This window comes from Homo sapiens, chromosome 8 (assembly GCF_000001405.40).
Source record: "Homo sapiens chromosome 8, GRCh38.p14 Primary Assembly".
NCBI lineage: Eukaryota > Metazoa > Chordata > Mammalia > Primates > Hominidae > Homo > Homo sapiens.
In genome coordinates, this window is record NC_000008.11 from 69,368,798 (window position 1) to 69,371,266 (window position 2,469).

General features: G+C 40.1%; 1 annotated feature.

Moving 5' to 3' along the window:
* Positions 422-928: an enhancer, noted in NCBI's record as "H3K4me1 hESC enhancer chr8:70281454-70281960 (GRCh37/hg19 assembly coordinates)". NCBI's record gives its function as "activates a minimal SCP1, AML or CMV promoter by ChIP-STARR-seq in primed H9 embryonic stem cells {active_cell/tissue: H9 hESC(primed)}" and the evidence as "EXISTENCE:reporter gene assay evidence [ECO:0000049][PMID:30033119]".

Here is a 2,469-nt window from a genome sequence, read left to right on the forward strand (position 1 = left end):
CCAACATTGAGGAGGAAAACCGGCAACGCACCATCAGTCTGCCACCTGAGAGTCATTCACGAATGTTGGATAAATGCTGAATGAATGTTCAAGTCACGTAGCAAATTAGCGGCAGAGCTGAACGTAGAAAGAAACCAGGTGTCCCACCAGTGTTCTTCCCATGACCACACTTGGCAGCAATCTACCTTGGACCCAATTTAGACAGACGAAGTTGTCAAACTCGCACGAGAAAAGTTACAGAAGGTCTGGCCTTATGTTGAACTCTCCAGCCTCTGAGTTAAATCTTTCAAAACCTCATCTCCTTGCAGGTTACTGCCAGCCCAGCGGGGTGGCTCAGGCAGGAGCTGACCCTTTAAATGGCCTAATAATCAGACCTTGAAAAGTCCAACAGTAGCCTCAGAAAGCCAGATGAGATGAGGATCGGGGCCTGTAGTATGACAATAAAGAGCCCTAACCAAGTTTTAATTTTTCACATAAAATGAGCTCGGCAAAACAAAAAACCAAAGCACTTGGAAAAGAGAGCTCTCATTCCATACCATACTTTGAACATTACCTAAAACACAATTTCTCATTGAAAAAAAACTTAGAAAAAGTTTGACTTCACCACAAAGAAAATGAAGGTATATACCAAGGAGACATTTATCTTCCAGGAATTTAACTATGAAATAATTAAATTCAACAGAGTATGTAATTACACAAAAATGAAACCTGATCTCCCTAGAAATTTCCCCTCTGCTATCTCAGGGGAATGAGCCAGACCCTGCATTTCTTCTTGTTTGCATTTTCTGCATTAATCTCGCTGCAATTTGTAACAAGAGGTCCCAGTATTAACCTTCAGATTGGTTTCACATCTTCTGGAGCTCCCAAGTAGGGGAAGAGTCAGTTTTGCCATTGCTGGAGGGAGCTTTTGGGTAGAGGCGGCTGGGGGTGCAGCAGCCCTGTTGCTGTGGCCCTGTCGCTGGGGCCATCGCTGAGCCTGACATTAGGATTCCCTGAAGAACAAAGGCCTTGCTCACTCTGGGTGTTTTTGTTTTGTTTTGTTTTGTTTTGTTTTGTTTTGTTTTTAATGAGTATTTTTTTTTCTAACTACAAAACTCAGATAAACCTCTTGAAAATGCTCATGGGCTAAATGCTTAAACTGGCAGAATATATTTTTCAAAAAGTGTGTTTTGTGATAACTTTGTTTTATTAACATTTAGTGGTTTATTAAAACTATAATGAGATAAGATAGGAATGCATTTTTCAGATTCCAGTGAGATTTTTTTACCCTTCTATAAACTGTGTGAGCCACATAAAGTTGTAAAAAAAAAAAAAAAAAAAAAAAAACTAGATATTCTTTTCTCTTCATATTATCGTCAGTACTTTGGGAAAGAGATTTAGCATATAATATCAATTAGTTTTCCGAATGTAATTGCTTTGTGGTGCTTTATTACTTAGGAATGAACAATATTTTAGGTTACTATTTGCCATGTTTTCAGGCATCTTATGAGGAAGTGTGTAGCATTTGATAGACAAGCATTTCACTCTAAGGTATTTTTAGTTGTGTGGTTGTAGCAGGTGTAAAAAAAGAGACAGACTCACATTTGCTCTTCTACCTGCCAGGCTCTTTGCCTGCCCAACTCCCCACCCTTTTAGGTGTTTCTGAGTGGCAAAAACTATATGAATTACAACCCTGGCTGCAATCAGTGGAAAAGCTCAGATACTATTTTTCCTAGCTTGCATACATATTTTATGTCTTTTGCCAGATGAAAAGATTGGCAATACAGTAAAAGAAGCACCACAGTGGTTCACTATTTCTATTTTCCTGGTTTTCCTGATGAACCACCTTCTGGCAATTTCAGGACTCTCAAGGCTGCTGCTCTCAAAGGCGGATTTGCCATGGGGGTGGGTCCCCCTCCTCCAGCGCTTTCCTCTTGCCTTCACTACATGAGCTGCTACTCAGGGCCCTCACTTGGCCACAACAGCCTGAATTGGAGGTTATAAATTCAAAAAAGCAAGAAAAACTTTCCACTTTCTCTGCATCTTTAGGATAAAAACACCATAACAGAGCAATGCTGTGGTCCCCAGCCTAGCTGCTCCAGGGTCTAGTTGGTTCCTAAAGAAACTGATTTTAAGTTTTTCTTTGATATATACTTTAAGGCAATAATTAGGAGCTCTCTGGGGTTGAATTTTCTCGTGTTTTAAACCCAATAGAAACACAGACTGACCTGTAGCATTTGTGAATATGCTAGTATAATTAATTCCCCAAATCGAGTCTCTGCCTTTCTCCAGGAGTCCTGTGAGGTTTACAGATTAATTCAGTTGCAGACTTAGGATCCTTACTGTGATCCTCTTCAGGGAAATAAAAAAGGCAGGAGCCTTTTGGCTTAGACTGCCAGAGTAAGAACAATAGGCCTTAACGAAGTTCTTTTTCTTTGCCCCCTTTTTGAATGATGACTTTTTACTTCAATGCAGGAAGGTTTCATGAAG